Source organism: Homo sapiens, chromosome 16 (assembly GCF_000001405.40).
Source record: "Homo sapiens chromosome 16, GRCh38.p14 Primary Assembly".
Classification (NCBI taxonomy): domain Eukaryota; kingdom Metazoa; phylum Chordata; class Mammalia; order Primates; family Hominidae; genus Homo; species Homo sapiens.
The window spans coordinates 69,559,581-69,578,035 of record NC_000016.10 but is presented as its reverse complement, the minus strand read 5'-3'; the positions used below and the strand labels follow the sequence as shown (position 1 = coordinate 69,578,035).

The 18,455-nt window shown below is 41.6% G+C and overlaps 1 protein-coding gene and 1 non-coding gene across 10 annotated transcripts in view, besides 6 other annotated features; one reads left to right on the top strand and one right to left on the bottom strand.

The window, feature by feature from the left end:
- NFAT5 (nuclear factor of activated T cells 5) overlaps window positions 1-12,070 on the bottom strand; it is a 138,689-nt gene extending 126,619 nt beyond the window's left edge. For 5 of the 9 annotated variants that reach the window (NM_173214.3, NM_006599.4, XM_011522817.4 and 2 more), the window contains exon 1: window positions 11,662-12,070. Coding sequence is in view for 4 of the 9 variants with exons in the window: in NM_006599.4 (NP_006590.1) it covers window positions 11,662-11,734 (73 nt within the window). In the remaining 5 variants the exon portion in view is untranslated. Of the gene's footprint in view, window positions 1-9,487; window positions 9,542-11,661 lie in introns of all 9 variants that reach the window. The other 4 variants (XR_007064848.1, NM_138714.4, NM_138713.4 and 1 more) reach the window with 1 other exon arrangement.
- Window positions 11,275-11,584: a silencer, noted in NCBI's record as "silent region_7664". NCBI's record gives its function as "represses an Ori minimal core promoter by ATAC-STARR-seq in GM12878 lymphoblastoid cells {active_cell/tissue: GM12878}" and the evidence as "EXISTENCE:reporter gene assay evidence [ECO:0000049][PMID:35858748]".
- Window positions 11,605-11,874: a silencer, noted in NCBI's record as "silent region_7663". NCBI's record gives its function as "represses an Ori minimal core promoter by ATAC-STARR-seq in GM12878 lymphoblastoid cells {active_cell/tissue: GM12878}" and the evidence as "EXISTENCE:reporter gene assay evidence [ECO:0000049][PMID:35858748]".
- Window positions 12,065-12,444: a silencer, noted in NCBI's record as "silent region_7662". NCBI's record gives its function as "represses an Ori minimal core promoter by ATAC-STARR-seq in GM12878 lymphoblastoid cells {active_cell/tissue: GM12878}" and the evidence as "EXISTENCE:reporter gene assay evidence [ECO:0000049][PMID:35858748]".
- On the top strand, window positions 12,168-12,228 carry MIR1538 (microRNA 1538). The gene has a single exon (NR_031719.1). It is a non-coding gene; the product is annotated as a microRNA 1538 (primary transcript).
- Window positions 12,169-12,345: a silencer, noted in NCBI's record as "fragment chr16:69599594-69599770 (GRCh37/hg19 assembly coordinates)". NCBI's record gives its function as "represses an EF-1alpha promoter that drives an FKBP-Casp9 reporter gene in an ReSE screen in K562 erythroleukemia cells {active_cell/tissue: K562}" and the evidence as "EXISTENCE:reporter gene assay evidence [ECO:0000049][PMID:32094911]".
- Window positions 13,106-14,002: an enhancer, noted in NCBI's record as "H3K27ac-H3K4me1 hESC enhancer chr16:69597937-69598833 (GRCh37/hg19 assembly coordinates)". NCBI's record gives its function as "activates a minimal SCP1, AML or CMV promoter by ChIP-STARR-seq in primed H9 embryonic stem cells {active_cell/tissue: H9 hESC(primed)}" and the evidence as "EXISTENCE:reporter gene assay evidence [ECO:0000049][PMID:30033119]".
- Window positions 13,564-13,703: an enhancer, noted in NCBI's record as "active region_11042". NCBI's record gives its function as "activates an Ori minimal core promoter by ATAC-STARR-seq in GM12878 lymphoblastoid cells {active_cell/tissue: GM12878}" and the evidence as "EXISTENCE:reporter gene assay evidence [ECO:0000049][PMID:35858748]".

The window sequence follows — 18,455 nt, the reverse complement described above, 5'->3', positions numbered from 1 at the left end:
AGTCTGTACATGTTCAGTACAGGTAAAAAAAAAAATTTTTTTTTTGACACAGGGTCTCACTGTCACCCAGGCTGGAGGGCAGTGGCACGATCTCTGCTCACTGCATCCTCTACCTCCTGGGTTCAAGTGATCCTCCCACCTCAGCTTCCCAAAATAGCAAAATATCACTATTCATATAGCTTACATTAATACTGTTTCTTCTGTTGCCCAGGCTGGAGTGCAGTGGCAGAATATATATAACCCGTGTCCTTTATAGAAGTATAGAAATGCACCCATTTTAAATGTTCTATGAGTTTTTTTAAAAAGTATGTATGTTTGTGTAATCACATGGTCAAGACAGAGAACATTTCAATCATTCCGTAAAGCTACTTTTGGTCCTTTGTAGTTAATCCTGCCCACTCCAGCCCCAGGCAACTACTGATCTGCTTTTTCTTACCATAGGTTTGTCTTTTAAAGAACTTCACATAAATGGGTCTATACAGTGCGTACTCTTTACCTTTTTGTTGTCGTTCAAGCACCACAACCTTCTAAAAGGGAACACAGTATTTTTAAAACTGGGTATAAAGGTAATAAATTTTTTGTTCTTTTATAGATTCCTATATTATTCCATAATATAGCCAACCATATATTTTTCATGTATATGTGCAAGTATAGGTTACTTAGCCATAATAGTGTTATTTATTCATTCACTCAAGATGAATTTACACATAGGTTCTGGCCCATGTTGCTTATAGCTTATTAGAAGAGACTAAACCACAGGGGGAGGGTTAACTTCTAAACTACAATTTACAATAGCAAACCTCCTTTATAGACGTTTGTTTTCAGAAGAAGGGAAATAGAGAAAGGATACAAGATGCCATAGCAGAACAACAAAATGTATAGACTACCGTGAGAAAACGGATACACGGGGTGAAAGGGGCAGATTAAAAAAGACAAAGCAGAAAGAACCAAAGTAAATTAATAAAGGCTCTATGCAAAATACCACTATTCACATAGCTCACATTAGTACTATTTCTTCTGTTGCTCATCTCTTCTTGAATTTACTTTGTCTCTGAAACATACTAGCAGAAATAGGGAACAATGGCATCCATGCTTCCATAAAACTACTGCCAAAGAAATCAAGAGCCCCACGGCACCTTCATTTCTAAAGTAATTCCCCTTAGGTGGTGGCTTCTGCTTAGCCTTCTCCTACTTTTCACTTCTGAGTCCCATCATCAGCCAGGAGAGAGGTATTTCTTGACCTCCTGGGCTCATGTGATCCTCTCACCTCAGCCTGCCTCCCAAGTAGCTGGGACTACAGGTGCGTAACACCATCCCTGGCTAATTTTGGTAGAGAGGGGGTTTTGCTACGTTGCCCAGGCTGATCTCGAACTCCTGAGTTCAAGCGATCCGCCCACCTCAGCCTCCCAAAGTGCTGGGATTACAGGCGTGAGCCACTGAGCTAGGCCAACATAGGTGTTTTGATCAGCCATCACTTCCTCTAAATGTTAAAGACACTCACCAAAGCCAGGCAATGATTTGCTAATTTTGAGTATTAAAATCTTCCCCAAAAGAGTCATAATCATATTCTTTATGAATTTTTGTATGTAGTTTATAAAATTTGTCTCATTACTTTATGGAAGCTGCTTAGTAAAGAATCCTACACAAACTATTCTTTTTATACCATCTGAACAATGGTGTAATCTTATTAGGGCCCAAAGTATAAATGCCAATTTCAAACGTTCTTTTTTTTTTTTTTTTTTTTGAGACCGAGTCTCACTCTGTCGCCCAGGCTGGAGTGCAGAGGCGCCATCTCCGCTCCCTGAAAGCTCCACCTTCCGGGTTCAAGCCATTCTCCTGCCTCAGGGGACTACAGGTGCCCGCCCACCACGCCCAGCTAATTTTTTTGTATTTTTTTAGTAGAGACGGGGTTTCACCATGTTGGCCAGGATGATCTTGATCTCCTGACCTCGTGATCCGCCCACCTCGGCCTCCCAAAGTGCTGGGATTACAGGCGTGAGCCACCGAGCCCGGCCTCAAATGTTCTTACTGACTGTTAAGACAGTCAATATAATCTCACAGCTCTGGGGTAAAACTGGTGAAGTTCAAATTCCAGCCTCATCCACGAGATATGTGCCCTTGGGAAAATTAGTAGATCCCTCTGTACCTCAGTTTGTTCATTTACGAAATAGGGATACTGGTACTACATCGCAGGATTTTTCTAAGAGTTAAATGTGAAAAATATATGTAAAATGGTGTTAAACATAAACTGCTTGACATATAAATTGCTCAAAAAAGGTTTTCAATTATTACTAACACTGAATTTATTCTTTTGACTAGCATGTCCTACAAAGATTGCCTCAGGTACAGTTTTTTTTATTAAAACTAAATTTTTTTCTTCTCTTGCTTTATTTATTTATTTTATTATTATTATTTTTTAAGACAGGGTCTTGCTCTGTTGCCCAGGCTGGAGTGCAGTGGCATGATCCCATGATCATGCAGGCTCAATGCAGCCTTGACGTCCTGGGCTCAGATGATCCTCCCACCTCAGCCTCCTGTAAAACTAATTTTATAAAGATAAGCATAATCAGCCAGGCCCAATGGCTCACACCTGTAATCCCAGCACTTTGGGAGGCTGAGGCGGGCGGATCACCTGAGGTCAGGAATTCAAGACCAGCCTGACCAATAAGGTGAAACCCTGTCTCTACTAAAAACACAAAAATTAGCTGGGCATGGTGGTGTGCACCTGTAGTCCCAGCTACTCATGAGGCTGAGGCAGGAGAATTGCTTGAACCCAAGAGACGGAGGTTGCACTGAGCCCAGATCGCACCACTGCACTCTAGCCTAAGCAACAGAGAGACTCCGTCTCTAAATAAATAAATAAATAAATAAGCATAATCAACAACTTAGCTCACTATTAGAAACTTTTCTGTTCTTCTCTCATCTTCAAAACTAAATACCAAATTCAGTAAAAGACTAATCACAGTGTTTCCTGAATGAAAAAGAAGTGATAAACATTCATGGGTGGGAAGCAATAATGATCATTACCTATTTACCACATAAATGTTAAAAATAAAAGAGAATGGGCTGGGCACGGTGGCTCATGCCTGTAATCCCAGCAGTTTGGGAGGCTGAGGGAGGCAGATCACCCGAGGTCAGGAGTTCGAGACCATCCTGGCCAACATGGTGAAACCCCATCTCTACTAAAAAAATACAAAAAATTAGCTGGACATGGTGGTGCGTGCCTGTAATCCCAGCTACTTGGGAGGCTCTGGTGGGAGAATTGCTTGAACCTGGGTGACAGAGGTTGCAATAAGCCAAGATTGTGCCACTGCACTCCAGCCTGGGTGACAGAGCACGACTCCGTTTCAAAAACCAAAAAAAAAAAAGAGAAAAGTATATATTTTTCAAAAGCTATTAAGAACAAATAAAAGTAACTGAACTCTCATGTAACAAATGTTTAGTTCAAATGATTAAATATATATATCCTTTATTACATCAAGTTTATTTATTCTGAAAGCTAGATCCATTATCTGTAGTTAACTCATAGAGGAAATCTCTACCTTTTCACTCAAGTACATAATTATCATTGGTCTTATACTCTGTTAGTTTATTTAAACTTGACTTTTATTAACACAAAAGCAAACAGAAGACACAGCAACCTTCTTTGCGTAACTTGAAATAAAATCTTAGCAACAGCAAGAAAAGACAATAATACAAATTAATAAGCAACATTTCTATTGAAAAATGTCTTTTACCTCTCTAAAGTTAAAAGGTCTATATCCTATGCCACTGAATAATCTTTATTTTTTTCTAGTTACCTGTTACTCTTAATATAAAATATACTCTGAGGAGTCAACTTTTTCATATAAAAAGTGTCTGTTTTGGCCGGGCGCAGTGGCTCACGCCTGTAATCCCAGCACTTTGGGGGGCCGAGGTGGGTGGATCACCTGAGGTCACGAGTTCGAGACCAACCTGACCAACATGGAGAAACCCTATCTCTAATAAAAATACAGTATTAGCCAGGTGTGGTGGTGCGCCCTTGTAATCCCAGCTACTTGGGAGGCTGAGGCAGGGAAATCGCTTGAACCTGGAGGTGAAGTTGCGGTGAGCTGAGATTGCACCATTGCACTCCAGCCTGGGCAACAAGAGCGAAACTCTATCTCAAAAAAAAAAAAAAAAAAAAAGTGGCTGTTTTTTATATATAATACTAATCACACTGGGAAATGTTTTTCTGTACTACCACTTTGAAATTTTAGGGGACTCCTGGAATAATCAGAGTCAAGAGTAAATTAAAATCAGGCCAAGAACCACTGGATTAGAATATGAATTTATATCCTTTTATTTTAAATAAGCAATAGAATTCCAGTATTGAGTGAAAATAATGAAAGCAGAGTTTAGGAAGGGACACAAAAACAGGTGGTAAGCAATCAGAAAGAGATGGATCTAAAGACAAGAAGCTGGGATGAACTAGGTATGACTTTTGACATGTTTGAACTTCATTATTTCCATAATACTTTTAGTTTACTAGACATGGATCCACAGAGATTATTAGATACTAAACAAGAAAAGAATTCAATAGATTATTTTTCATGTTAAATGTTTTCAAAAAATCCTTTCCAAAAAGGTATCTTTGTACATAAAATATTATAGGCATTTATGATCTATGATATAACAAGGGCCCTAGGAAGAAATATAAATCAGAAATATTCTATAAAGTCAATAAAACATTGCTACTATGTTTAGGATTTTCCATTTTTGCACTATGAAGTATAATTCTGGATGGTACCATATCAAATAGATTAGCAGTAGTAAAAAAAAAATCATAGTTTATTTTCTCTTAACTCATTGTCATATTTCACATTTTCTTTTAAAAATCTTCCGGTCTTAAATGTTTAATTTAAACAAAGATTGTGGCCGGATGCGGTGGCACATGCCCGTAATCCTAGCACTTTTGGGAAGCCATGGAGGGTGGATCATGAGGTCAAGGGATCGAGGCCACCCTGGCCAACATGGTGAAACCCTGTCTCTACTAAAAATACAAAAATTAGCTGGGTGTGGTGGCACGCGCCTGTAGTCCCAGCTACTCAGGAGGCTGAGGCAGGACAATCACTTAAACCCAGGAGGCAGAGGTTGCAGTGAGCTGAGATCATGCCACTGCACTCCAGCCTGGCAACAGAGTGAGACTCTGTATCAAAAATAAATAAATAAATAAATAAATAACAAAGATTATATCAGATCAGCATTTAGCTCTTATTTAACCAGTTCTTTCATTTGATATATAATCTCTTAACTCATGCTTTTAAAATCATTAAAATTGTTAAATCTATTGTTTATATTTATCTATTTTTCCAATTTGTTTATACTCTTATTTTTCCTGTTTTATCTATGATTTTTCTATAATCTTATATTTCTCTATTTCTAGAATGATTCATTCAGTTTCATTTCTATCTTAGTTTTTCATTTGCCAAAATGAATAGTTTTCATTATAGAATGTACAACAAATGGTGCCTTTTCTCTGCAGCTGAATTTTTTTCCCAGGCACTTCAAAAAGGAATCCTAGCCTTCGAATTTGAACTTACTAATGGCAAACAATTTTATTTAAAAAAAATATATAAACCATGTTCTTTAAAGATGGAAAATACAAAAATAGAATTGAAAAATAGAAAATCAGTGATGTATACTTTTGTTCAGGATTTTTGTAACACAAGTTACTTTGAATATAATTGTAACAGCATAATTTTTATTTACTTATTTTATTAAGAGTGTCACATGTTAATTATGGGGTTACCAGAAACATCATTTAATGGCCATGTATTATAACATTAATTAATTAGCCAGGACCCTTTTCCCATTGTCAGGCAATCATCGTATTAAATTTAAAAAGAGGTTGCAAGAAAGACTAGCACTGTTTTGATAGGAAGGTTAAATGCAAACTCAGTTGAATAGTAGACATTTTGAATCTACTTCTAAAGTTTAATAATACCCAAGCGCAGGCCAGGTGCGGTGGCTCACGCCTGTAATCCCAGCACTTTGGGAGGCTGACGCAGGCGGATCACGAGATCAGGAGATCGAGACCATCCTGGCTAATATGGTGAAACCCTGTTTCTACTAAAAAATCCAAAAAAAATTAGCCGGGCGTGGTGGCAGTCGCCTGTAGTCCCAGCTACTCAGGAGGCTGAGGCAGGAGAATGGCGTGAACCCAGGAGGTGGAGCTTGCAGTGAGCCGAGATCGTGCCACTGCACTCCAACCTGGGCGACAGAGCAAAGACTCCATCTCAAAAAAATAATAATAATAAATAATAATAATAATACCCAAGTGCAGGTTTTCCAACCTTGTTTCCCCCCAAAAAAAAAATTTAAATTTGGAAAACGTACGTTCTATAAAAAAATTAAATTATATCACACCAATTACTTAAATTCCCCTCACTCTGGGCCAAGTTTTTAAATACTATTTATAGATGAAAATCTAGACTACTGATGTAAAACATGCATACATAAATATTACTAGACAGAACTTGATAGTATATACCATTGGGAGTTAGTACAGCACAGTAGTCAAGAGGCTAGGCTAAAGTGAGACTACCTGGGTTGGAATTCTGGTTCTACAATTTACTAGCTTGTGACTCTGGGTGAGTTATGCCTTCAATTGCTCATCTCTAAAGTAGGATAATAATAACCATCTCAAAGGGTAGTCAGGAGAATTCGCTGAGTTCTTATTTTGTTTGTTTGTTTGTTTGTTGTTGTTTTTTTGAGACAGAGTCTCACTCTGTCACCCAGGCTGGAGTTCAGTAGAGTGATCTTGGCTCACCACAACCTCTGTCTCCCAGATTCAAGGGATTCTCCTGCCTCAGCATCGCGAGTAGTTGGTATTACAGGTGTATGCCACCATGCCTGGCTTTTTTTTTTTTTTTTTTTTTTTTTTTTAGTAGAGATGGGGTTTCACCATGTTAGCCAGGCTGGTCTCAAACTCCTGACCTCAAGTGATATGCCCACCTCAGGAGTTCTTATTTGTAAAGTTCTTGGCACACAGTAAACACTCTACAGCTAGCATTTAGTTTTTAAAAATTTTTTAACTTTAGCTAACATTTACTGAGCACTTAGCATGTGCTAAATTAAATGCTTTACACGAATTTGCCTCAAATAATCTTCACAAAAACCTAGGATGAGGCACTATTATTGCTCCCGTTTAAAGATGAGAAAATTGAAGCAAAAAAGATTAAATTATTAGGCTAAGGCCATACAAGTAAATGTCAGAGCAACAATATGAACTCCAATCTAGCAGCATGGCCTACAATTTCAACATAGGTTATAGGATATACTATATACTAGAAGCGGTAGCCTCCTGCAGCACTCTGTCTTGAAAAGAGGGCAGGAGAGTCACAAGAGACTTTGCTGAAATAAACTAGAATATTCCAAGAAATAGTTTATAAACTATACAGAGTAATTAAAAATTAATACAATAATTATATTAACAATTAAATTATATCAATAATAATTAATATAAGAAAGTCACTGTAATACAGAAATACTTATGTATGAAGTGATCTGATGTTTGATATTTGTTTTAAAATAATCCAGCTTGAGAGAGAAGAAGGGATAAAAGAAGCAAGATTAGATACTGGTTAAACTGTGGTGATGGGTATATGGGGCTTATTTTATTCTCTCTACTTTTATGTATTCTTTAAAATGTCAATAATAAAAAAGAAATAGCAATGAGGTGGCACAGATTAGACACTTCATTACAGAAGCAAACAACTTTTTTAAGACACCCTGTCTCAAAACATTTTAAAGGGCATGACAGAATTGATACTTATACATGTTATATTTTATATATAATTTCTAAAAGGGTAGCCTTACTTTAAATGAGAATCCCCTTAACTAAAATGAAAAATTAACGAAAGTATTTAGGCATAAACATGTAAATAAACATGCTAAATGGTTGTCTGTATTTCCATCAGCTCACTAAAAATATTTGCTTAAATAATTAACACTCATTTTTTTCTTCATGTCTTTCTCCTCCCTGATCATCTCTATGATTATGACACTCTATGGTTTGTTGTCCAGGAAATGAGATGGGTTTGTACAGACAAATATGTCTCTACAACATGGTCACAAATTGAATATGAATAAAAACCAGAAATCTGCTTCACTAAGAAACACTGCTAAAAATTTCTCACTTCAAATTGTAGTTTTAAAAATATTTGATTTTCATACTAATGTATATCTATGGGCTTCTTACACGTACAAAACAAATTTAACCAATTATTTATTTGAGAACATTTTATATGCTCTAAATTATACTGTTAAAAAAATTTAGCTGATACTAAAGGAAAAAACTAACATTTATTAAGCTAGACGCTATGCTAGGCAATTTAATACACATTAGCTCACTAAATTTAAGAGACAGCTACATTTTAACAGGAAGAATATTAAAGTTTAGAGAGGTAAAATCACTTGCCCGAAGTCACAGAACTAATAAGGAGCTAAGTTGGTATTCAAATTTAAGCTCAACTACAAAACCCACTTGCCCCCCACTATCCCGGACTACCTCCAAGGGAGGCAAAAATCTTCTCAAGTCAAACTTAAATATTTAGGGCCTTTTTAAAGTAGACCATAAAATGTTTGTTACTGGTTACATGTGTATTTCACGGTGGCCGCTTTGCATAAAGAGCACTAACTGAAACGCAGAAAGTATTATTTCTTCTACTGTGGGACTTTTTTTTTTTTTTGGTTTCTTAATTTCAGCCTTAGTTTCTCTTCTCTACAATGGGGAAATTAGTACCTTTGCTGTCCAATTCCAAAATTATAAAGATTTAAAGATGATATATGTGAAATCACTTCAAAATCTACAAAAACACAAGACTATTTTATGTCTTAAAATGTTAAAACACACACACACACAAAGCCAAAAGTTTTCTAAAGTAAGTGTAAGCTGTTTAAACTAATCTACAGACTCTATTAACATTTCCAGAACTTTCTAAACCCCTTTCTTCTAAGCATAGCTCAATCATCATCGCTATTACTTGGCTTTCCTTACCCTTAAGTATAATGCAATAACAATGGCATCAATGCTTTTGCAATAAATAATTAACATATTTTGAAATGCTCAGCATATAAATGTTCTAAATTCTGAATTTTCAAACTAATTATGTGTTTGGTGTCACTCTTTTATATTCATGTTAATGTTTGGGCCTTTTCACATTCTATTTTGTGTATAAAAAGCTAAAATGAAGGTCTGGAATTCTAAAGTAGAACACTCAACACATAATTTAAAATGATTTTTTTTTCAATGTTTCTCAAAGCAGATAGAACAGCCAACAAGCACATCAAACGCAGCAACAAAACCCATTGAAACATTCAGCTGCTCTAAAAGAAGGATCAGACTCTTTAGGAGAAAACTACATTGTGTGAGTTTGCAAAGTTTCATACTTTCCCATTTAAACTCCATTTCAGAGAAAGCCTTTGCATACTAACACAATATGCTTTAAAATGGTACTTTGCTGACCTTCCAATAGTCCAGCTCTATGAAAATTCTGTGATGGGTGTAACTTCAGAGAATCTGAAAAACACAAAAAGCATTAGGTACTTTTTATGCTGAATGAGGAAAAAAATGCCAAGGATAGCATACATCTCTTATATAACTGCAATGTGTGTGTGTGTATATATATATATATATACACACACACACACACACACACACACACACATATATATATATACACACATACATTTTGAAACGGAGTTTCGTTCTTTTTGCCCAGGCTGGAGTGCAATGGTGCGATCTCGGCTCACCGCAACCTCCGCCTCCCGGATTCAAGTGGTTCTCGTGCCTCAGCCTCCCGAGTAGCTGGGATTACAGGCATGCACCACCACGCCCGGCTAATTTTGTATTTTTAGTAGTGACGGGGTGACGGGGTTTCTCCAAATTGGTCAGGCTGGTCTCAAACTCCCGACCTCAGGTGATCCAACTGCCTCGGCCTCCCACAGTACTGGGAATACAGGCGTGAGCCACTGCGCCCGGCCAACTGCAGTGTATTTTTAAGCGCTAAAGCCCATATTTGTGAATATATTCCCCGCAAAAGAGGCTGAATTGTCTCTACATTGGTCTCGAAGCTAAACTTAGATTTTCATAAAGTATATGTTTCATGGAAAATTATCTGATGATTACTCCCCAAATGGTGTTAATGTCTTGGCTATTTTTAGCACTCAATTCTAACACATTAGCCCTGCTCTAAGAATCATCTCTTGATATGTCTCTTTTTTTTTTGACATTCAAAACTACAATATTTCTAAAGTACCTCAGGTAATGTTGCCCGAAAAACATCCTACAGGATGGTGGCTGCCAACTAAAGTCATTGGAGCAACAGACAGTGGCTACAATTACTAAGTAGGACTCTGTGTACAAAATCAATGGTCAGTCTGTAAAGTCCAGCACCTTTCAGAGTAAACCATCTCACTCTGATTCACTTAAACAATTTAGATACACTAGTAGGAAGGTGAAGTCCCTTTTTTGGAGGGGGTGGAATAAGCAAATGGATGGATACATCAAACCAAAAGCAGAAGAAACACCTACATTTTTTTTTACACGGTGAAATGAATAGTTAACAACCCAGTTATGTCTTTTGCCCCCTCCCGGTGGTTTAAAAAGCGTAAAGAGCGCAGTGGGAATATTTTGGTTTTGAAGCCCCTTGCACAGGGAACCTGTTCTGACACATTCTTGTGGTGTCCAGTAAAGGAATTTCACCTGAGTAGGGATCAGCTCCAGTGCTAATATTTCAGATGCTGGGAATCCCCTGCAGGCCTTAGCCAAAAGAGTTCTTAAATGAAAAGTCTCTGCCTGAGCTCCCTCCCTGCAACCAGCCCTTGAACGGAAAAGCAGAGAAAATTCTCAAAGGACAGCGTCTGTGCCTGGGCTGGTCCTCCTGGGAGAGGAGAGGAATAAAACCAATCCAGAGAGGGCACCCCCATCTTTGTAAAGGAGAAGGGAGAAGTAATTAGAATGCCACGGAGGTGGGAAGAGAAAAAAAAAGAAAAGAAAATTCGGGCCCTTTCCATCGGGCCCTTTCCAGCAAGAAGATGACGAGGAAAGGAAGAACGCCTGGTCGAGGGGGGCTGTCCCAACATGGGGAGGGAGTGGACTAGGCCGGAGGGAGAGGGGGTGGAACGACGGCGCAAAAACAAGCTGGAAAGGGAGGAAAATGGTGACCCTGCACTCAGAACCGGCTCCAGGCCACGCCGCCCGCTTGGGGGCAACTTTGCTGGGGAGGAGGGTCCCGGTAAGAGAAGACGCGGCGCCCCGATCGCGGTGGCCCCAGCGCGGGGCCCAGTCTGGGGCCATCCCCGAGCCCGGGAGGCCGGGGCCGGCGGCTCGCGGAGCCTGGCGGGGCCGGACGGGCTGAGAGCGGCTAGAAGCGACCGGTGCCGCAGAGCCCCGGGGGCCGACGGAATCTGGGCCCCGAGCGGCCGGCGGCTCCGCGGGGGAGGGGCCGCCACTGCTCCGCCCGCCCCCTCCACCGTCACCCCGATCCCTTCGGCCTCTGCCCGCTCCGGCCAAAGAAGCCATGGGGGTCGCGGCTCAGCCGCCCCCGGCGGGACGGGGACCCCTCGCCTCCCCTGGCCCTGTCTCCCTGTCTCCCTGTCTCCCCGCCCCCACGCCCCACCCCCCACAGCCTGACTCACCTCGCGAGTAGAGGGACTTGGGCGATTCCAGGTCTAGGTCCGCGCTGAGCAATGAGATGAAGTCCGAGGGCATCGCAGCTCGACCCAGCCCGGCCCGAGGGCAGCGGGAGGGGGGGAGCGGCGGTGGCGGCGGCACCTCCTCTCCGGGACCGCGGGCACCGAACCGGGGGCGGCGACGCGAGGGCGGCTGCCGCTGCCTCCTCCTCGAGGGTAGTGACTTCCACTGGGCCGAGGACCGAGGAAACGATGGCGAGGTGGAGGGGGAACTCCACGGGGACTGATTCTCGGTGACCAGGAGAGGGGTTCAGGACGGGGAAGGGGAAGGGGGAGAGCCAAAGGGTCCGTTTCGTGTTTCTCCTCAGCGAAAACTGACGGTCGCCGCCACCGCCGCCGCCGCTGACAGGAATCTGAGCCCCGCCCCCGTGGGGCACAGCGCAGGCGCGGAGGGGGGTGCCCGGGAGCGCGGAAGAGCCGTGGCGGCCCCCGGAGGGCGGGGAGGCGCGCCAGGGAACAGCAGCAACATGGGCCTCGCTTCCTGCCGGCGCGGCCCGGGCTGCTGCTGTTCCTGAGCCGGGAAAGGGCCCCGCTGCCAGGGTGGGAGGGGGGGAGGCTGGGAGGTGGCCGCGCGCTGGGGCCCCGGGGAGGGAAAAGGTATTTGCAACGACCTGGTGGCGGCGAGCCTGAGGCGGCCGGCCCCGAGCAGAGCTGAGCGCAGGAGACAGAGCCGAGAGAAGCGAGAGGTCTGCGCGAGCCGGGGACGGACCCCAGAGGCCGGCGGCGGACGGGCCTGGCTGGCCCGGGGTCTCGCAGGGGACCGGAGTGTCATCGCCCGGACAGCCGCCAACCCTTTGGGGTTTGCATAGCAGTGTGTACAAAGGGACTGTCAAACCCATTTCTTAATTAGGAAATGGCAAACCGTATCCCAAAAACCTCGAGTTATTGATTTTTAATTAAAGTACTTTCTCCCCTAACACTCCCCTCCTACCTTTGGAGGCTGAAATTTTTTTTAAAAAAAACGATCTCTCTGATTGTGCTGGGGCATCCGGGTTATTCGGAGTGGGACATAGAAGACAATTAAAAAATTGGATCATGTGAATCCACCTGGCTGTTCTAGAGGAAAAACAGGTAAAAAGCAAACCTCAACGCTACTCTTCCAAACAGTTTTTCTTTTTTCTGTTTCTTTTTTTTTCCTTTTGGACTAGGCAAAGATGGAGGAAGAACGCATTTAACTGAGTTTTTGCTCTTGCTTTTCTGTTCGTGGAGCCAAAAGTTTCCGTTGCAAAAATTTAAAATCCTCACCCACACCGCAGAGCGTTTTCTGATTCTAATAGACTTCTGAGAAATTTTTAATCAAGTTATTGAAATATTACCTGGAGTGCAGGGTGTGCATCTTGGGAAGTAATTTTAATCTTGTGTGGAATATTGATGCCAGTAGCCACGTGGGCATGGTTTTTAAGCTATTCGAATGGTTTCGTTTTTTATCTACAAGGATAGTTACAACTCATGAAAATCAGTCTGTTGTAATATGTGTATGTGTATATATATGCACACATATATATACATACATATATACACACATATATACATATATATATAATTATAGAGACTTTTTCCCATGAAATTGAGCAGTTCTCGGGACTTGGAGTGCTAGGGTTGGGGTAAGAAGCTCTCAGCAAAGGAGGGCCCAGTACAGATGTCGCTGAGGCAAGGCCCTTTACAAAGTTTTACCTGTAGACCTAGAATTTAAACGTGTGTCATCAGAGCTCACCTATCTTTCATCTCAACATTTGATTCAGGTTGCCCAGTTGTCTTCACTGAATTGTGTGTAGTAATCAATCCTGTGAACATTTTTCTTTTGTCGGAGGTTCAGAAAGCTTTTCAGAGCCACCCCAAGATGGCAAAGCAGAACAAGAAACTGCCCTCAAATTGCCATCTCTGCTGTATGGTGTCGTGACAAGTCCCAAGGGAAGTCCCTTCATAACTGATAAGAGCCCCACTCATTTGAGAGAGAAAGATTGAAACCTCACATTGCCCAACAGGCCAAGGCCTACTGAAATCCTATAGCTTCTGAATTGGAGTAAACACACCTCTTGGAGACCCCCCATACGCCACCCATTAGTCAGTATACAGGGTAGCAGAGAGGAAATGCGATTCACCACCCGATACTAAGAAAGTTGACTGAATCACTCTGAGCAGATCCCTTTTCCCCAGACCGATGTAATCACTTAACAAACTTAGGGTATAGGAAATCCCCAGTACGGTTCTGACCCTAATTAACTAGTCAAGAACTGGCAAGGCCTCTTCCTTTTTCTGTGAATCCTTCTCTGCCCTTTTGTGACCTTTTTATTCCCCGTTGAGGCTTTGTTGTATATGTTAATCAGATTTCCCCTGATTAGGTAAGAGCAAAGTGAAGAGAGGCCCACCAAAGTGTGGCTTGACCTAAACTGCGAATTCCCTGAGAGGGATTCTGTGGGCTCAGGCCTCACTTACCTCATTAGGTCCTGCATTAAGCACGGATTATATCTAAATAGGTATTTGAAAAATCAGTGTCCACTCCCACCCCCTGCACCTGTCTTCTTACAGAGATATATTCTCTTTTTTGTTTGTTTTTTTAAGATGGAATTTCACTCTTGTTGTCCAGGCTGGAGTGCAGCAGTGCAATCTCGGCTCACTGCAACCTCTGCCTCCCTGGTTCAAGTGATTCTTCTGCTTCAGCCTCCTGAGTAGCTGGGGTTACAGGCGCCCACCACCATGCCCGGCTAATTTTTTGTATTTTTAGTAGAGATGGGGTTTCACCATGTTGGCCAGGCTGGTGTCGAACTCCTGACCTCAGGTGATCCACCCGCCTTGGCCTCCCAAAGTGCTGGGATTACAGGCATGAGCCACGGCACCTGGCCTATATTCTTTTCTTTTCTTTTTTTTCTTTTCTATTCTTTCGGGTTTTTTTGTTTGTTTATTTTTTTGAGACAGGGTCTTGTTCTGTTGCCCAGGCTGGAGTGTAGTGGCAGCTTCATAGCTCAGTGCAGCTGCAGACTGAAACTCCTCCCGGGCTCAAAGTGATCCTTCACCTCAGCCTCCCAAGTAGCTGGGACTACAGGCACATGCCACCACACTCGGCTAATTCATTTTATTATTTATTTTTATTTTTTATTTTTTTGTAGAGACATGGTCTTACTATATTACCCAGGCTAGTCTTGAACTCCTTTTTTGCAGAGACATGATTTTGCTATATTGCCTAGGCTGGTCTTGGACTCCTGGCTTCAAGTGATCCTCCTTCCTCGACCTCCCAAAATGCGGAGATTAGAGGCATGAGCCATTGAGCCTGGCCCAAGACACCTTCTTTGAAAAACTGCTTAGTTGGCTAGTTTTCTTGGCCATACTTTGCAACAGCATAGAGACCTAGATTTTCATTTTGTCTTTCAAATTTCAGTGACGGAAAACACAAATAAATTCATTAGTAAATAGTGTTTGCTCTGCTCTAATCACAAAATAAAATGTGACCTGCATGATATTCAAGGTTATCAGAAATAAGTACCTGATCACTGTGTCATTAGTAAATTATATGCCATTCTTAGTTCCAATGATATTTCCCTCTGTGATCATTTACATCTCAGTTGCATCCCCTTTTCTTTGATGTTTGAAATAGTCTAATGATATATTTTTAAAACTACCCCTTCAACTGTATACCTTTATGAAACTTCCTCTGGCCGGCCGCAGTGGCTCGCACCTGTAATCCCAGCACTTTGGGAGGCTGAGGCAGGCGGATCACTTGAGGTCAGGAGTTCGAGACCAGCCTGGCCAACAAGGTGAAACCCTGTATCTACTAAAAATACAAAAAAAAGAAAAAAAATTAGCTGGGCATGTTGGCACGCACCTGTAGTGTACTTGGGAGGCTGAGGCAGGAGAATTGCTGGAACCCAGGAGGCAGAGGTTGAGTGAGCCAAGATCACACCACTGACTCCAGCCTGGGCAGCAAGGGTGAGACCCTGTCTCAAAAAATATATATATAAATAAAATAAAACTTCCTCTGTACACAACAAAAGGTAAAATTTGGAAATTTCCTCTTATTGAAAATTATAATGGGACCATGGAGCAAAACATACAGCAGATTTAGTAGTTTATAGAATTCCTTTATATTACTTCCCAATCATATATTACCTTCCCTAGTCACTTGATTAAAATTTCACAAGAACCCAGATTCAACTACAAGACTGTAGATTATGCAATAGAATGGCACTTTTTATATTGGTGGTGTGTACTTTAACCCCTCCTGGACTTGTTTAGGCACTTTGTGAATTGTGTAGCTGGATTGACTCTAAATGAAAGAGGTTCAAATATCAGCCACTGAAAAGGAATTAAATAAACTCATACAGAACAGAGTTTATTTAATCTTGCTGTCACAAGATCTACAAATCTTTGTCATTGTAATACAATTAAGGCTGTTAAAATAATTTTAGTCACACATATATTGTAAGGAACCTACTAAACAAACACAAAATCTGAAAGGAAAATTTCCAGAGTAATTCAAGTCAAAGACCAAAAAAAAGTTTAGACCACAATTATTTTTGCCCCACCATGGGAGCACTCCTTAATAATAATGGAGAATTGATAGTGGTGGGATATAGTAGTGACAGCATTTGTGCTGGAATTGTAATCAAATTCCTATTTGAATATGTTTAAGTGTCAATTTCCACCCGTATAACATGTTCTAGCAAATATTTCCTTTTTTTTTTCTCTTTGAGACAGGGTCTCACTCTGTTGCCCAGGCTGCAGTGCTGTGGTGTGAACACAGCTCACTACAGCCTCAACCTCCTAGGCTCAAGTGATCCTCCTGCCTCAGCCTCCTGAGTAGCTGTGACCACAGGTGTGTGCTACCATGCCTGCCTAATTTTTTTTTTTTTTTTTGTAGAGACAGGGTCTCACCATGTTGCCCAGGCTGGTCTCAAACTCCTAGATTCAAGCAGTCCTCCCTCCTCGGCCTCCCAAAATGTTGGAATTACAAGTATGAGCCACGGTGCCTAGCCTCACAAATATTTGTGAAGGCAAAATTAGTTTATATGCTATTTAGCATCAGGTTTCAAACATTCTCACCCCTGGCATCTTCTAAAGTGCCCAAATCTTAGCATCAGACATCCAATTCACTTTGTTCACTTTGATGGCATACTTCTTTAGTTTATGAGTTGGTCTCAGAGTTTGCATCTAAAGTCTTATAGAGACCAATTAAGTCTCTCAAGATCTAGAGTAATTGCAAGTCCTGAGAAACAGCACAATCATTTTGAATCTGAAGGACTCAGTGAGCAGGGAGAAAGGAGGTAAATACCAGAGCTTTTTTTTTTTTTTTTTTTTTTTTTTTTTTTTTTTTTTTTTTTAAGTAGAGACAGAGTTTTGCCATGTTAGTGGCCAGGCTGGTCTCAAACTCCTGACATCAAGTGATCCGCCCTCCTCAGCCTCCCAAAGTGCTGGGATTACAGGTGTGAACCAGCCAGTGCCAGAGCAGTATGAAGGATAAATTAAGGAGGAGAAATTTTAATGGGAAAATAGAAATAGTTGATCCCATTTAACCCAAGAAAGGAAGGAAGATAATGTCTCCAGATCATCACTAGGCAGGTTACACATGAAAACTGCAAGCAAGTCCTTATTCACACTGGCCTACCACCATTGTGTAGACCACCACATTGCATTTGCTACAATGCTCTTTCCTCCATGTAATCATGGTATCTATTATGTATAGTAACCCCACCTCAGCTGTGATATTAGTTTGACCAAGAGTATGAATTAGTAAAGATTGTACAATTTCTCATTACCCTCTCTCTTAATTCAGGGAGTTTTAACTCTGAGGTCCATGGGTTTGCTTCAAGGCATCTGTAATCTTCCTAAACTTATATGGAAATTTTGACAAACATCTAGTTTCTTGGGACAAAGGTTAAAATTTTGGACTTCTTAAGCTTTCTGAAAGAAAGACTCATCACCCAAAAAAGATGAAAAAACTATTCCTCTATATGTAGCAGAATCATTCTTCTCTTGTTCCACAGTGGGTGCCGGGAGTTGTGCTAGGTATAAGATATACAAACATTTTACACGGCCAGGGGCTGTGGCTCATGCCTGTAATCCCAGCACTTTGAGAGGCCAAGGTTGGTGGATCACTTGAGGCCAGGAATTCGAGACCAGCCTGGCTAACATGGCAAAACCCCGTCTCTACTAAAAATACAAAAAAAAAAATTAGCCGGGCGTGGTGGTGCGCACCTGTCCCAGCTACTTGGGAGGTTGAGGCATGAAAATCGCTTGAACTGGGGAGGTGGAGGTTGCAGTGAGCCAAGATGGAGCCACTGCACTCCAGCCTGGGCGACAGAGGGAGACTCTGTCTCAAATAAATTTTAAAAAGGATATAAAGATGTTTAAAAGATGAATATAAGAAGTACACTTAGCATTGTGATAGGTGCTATGCTAGAATTCTGTACAGATATCTAGAAATAAATGATCAGCTTGCTTTCTTAGTGACCTGCGAGCAGGGAAGGCGAAGGAACGTCATCTCACACACCACACTCTTTTCTCCTCCCGCTACCACAGCTGGTATCTCTTCACTTCAACCGCAGTTTCTTACAGGGGTCAAAAGAGGCTAGACAGCCCGGGCACGGTGGTTCATGCCTGTAATCCCAGCAATTTGAGAGGCCGAGGCAGGCAGATCACGAGGTCAGGAGTTTGAGACCAGCCTGGCCAACATGGTAAAACCCTGTCTCTACTAAAAATACAAAAATTAGCCGGTTGTGATGGTGGGCACCTGTAATCCCAGCTAC